The sequence below is a fragment of the Homo sapiens genome, chromosome 7 (assembly GCF_000001405.40).
Source record: "Homo sapiens chromosome 7, GRCh38.p14 Primary Assembly".
NCBI classification, from domain to species: domain Eukaryota; kingdom Metazoa; phylum Chordata; class Mammalia; order Primates; family Hominidae; genus Homo; species Homo sapiens.
In genome coordinates, this window is record NC_000007.14 from 67,769,364 (window position 1) to 67,771,182 (window position 1,819).

Consider the following 1,819-nt stretch of genomic DNA (forward strand, 5'->3'; position numbering starts at 1 on the left):
TAACACAGTGAAACCTCGTCTCTACTAAAAATGCAAAAAATTAGCCGGGCGCGGTGGCGGGTGCCTGTAGTCCCAGCTACTTGGGAGGCTGAGGCAGGAGAATCACCTGAACCCGGGAGGTGGAGGTTGCAGTGAGCCGAGATCGAGCCACTGCACTTCAGCCTGGTGACAGAGTGAGCCTCCATCTCAAAAAAACAAAAACCAAAACCAAAAAACAATATTCAAGTGTATTAAACACATTTCTAAAAGTTTTAAAAAATGTTTAACTTTCATCAGCTTCAGCATTTATGTTGCTCCCACATTTTGCATAGAACTGAACCCTTAAATCTGCTGACACCCATTGAATTGATCCTACTCTGGACACTGAGGCATCAATTTCTTCTTGCAATTTTTTCTTTTTCTTTGCTTCTTCTAACATTTTTTTGTGTTTCTTTTCTCCTCCTCCTCCTCCCTCCTCCTCCTCCACCTCCTCCTCCTTCCTCTTCTTCTTCCTCTTCCTCTTCCTCCTCCTCCCTCTTCCTCTCCTTCTCCTTCTTCTTCTTCTTCCTCTTCCTCTTCCTCTTCTTCAACAAGGTCTTGCTTTGTTGCCCAGGCTGCAGTGGCACAATCATAGCTCACTGCAGCCTTGAACTCCTGGGCTCAACTAATGCTCCCTTCTCAGCCTCCCAAGTAGCTGGGACTACAGATGCATGCCACCATGCTCTGCTAATTTTTGGTATTTTGTAAAGATATGGCCTCGCTATGTTGCCCTGGCTGATCTTGAACTCTTGGGCTCATATGATCCTCCTGCCTCAGCCTCCCAAAGTGCTAGGATTACAGGCATGAGCCACTGCACCCATCCTTCTTATGTTTCTTCTTGAGAATGACTAATGAACACATTACCATTTTGATAAGGTATCATTAAGCCATTGTCATCTGCAAGAATGATGTCATCCCAAGCATCTTCTAAATTATAGAGGTGCTTCTTTTTTTACTTCTGTTTCTTCCTTTAGCTTGGTGGAGCTAAAGGAAGAAACAGAAATACCTTTAGCTCCACCTCCACTTCTCTGAAAATCTGTTTGTCTTTTGTTTATCTTTGAAAGTAACATGGATATTTTTGCTGGCTTCATGGTGGCCATCATCTTCGCAGCACCATCTTGATACACTCGGTGTTATGGGGCTTGTCAGCTCTTCCAGGCAGAGGCTGGGTAGGGTAGCAGGCACATCAAAGGGCTCTGCAGAAGTTGTGGAGGAAGAACAGATGCATTCTGAGGATGCAGTCACATGAGTCCCTGTGACAGCAAGAAGGTGAGACTGACTGCCTCTAGCCCTACCTGCTGAATCGACGACCCTGGGCCCCTTGTTCAAACCCTTTCTACCTCCTGCCATGTTCCCAAGTGGCTGCCTCGCCTTGGCTGATACCTTAGCTGCTTCATCCCCTCTCTGCTCACTTGGTCACCTCTGCCTCTTCTGTGGCCACTGTCACTCTCAACATCTCCTCCTTGGGCCTGGGGCATTTTACATCTCCACCTCTCTCTTGCTTCATGTGACTGATATTGCTCTGGGCATCTGAATCCAGATCCCGGGCAGCCCAGGGTGGTGGTCTCAAGCCCTGCTCTGGAGGCAGGCTGCCCTGGAGCTGAGCTGCCTGAGGTTGGGCCTGGGCTTCTGGCTGAGGAGTACTTCTCTGACCTATTTTTTTTTTTTTTTTCTAAGAGGCAGTGTCTTGCTCTGTTGCCCAGGCTGGTGTGCAGTAGTGCTATCCTAGCTCACTGCAGCCTTAAATTCCTGGACTCAAGTGATCCTCCCTCCTCAACCTCCAAAGGAGCTTGGACTTCAG

General features: G+C 47.8%; 1 pseudogene; it reads right to left on the reverse strand.

The window, feature by feature from the left end:
- Nucleotides 1-262: 262 nt before the first annotated feature.
- On the reverse strand, nucleotides 263-1,368 carry LOC112267981 (prefoldin subunit 4-like; annotated as a pseudogene).
- Nucleotides 1,369-1,819: the final 451 nt, after the last annotated feature.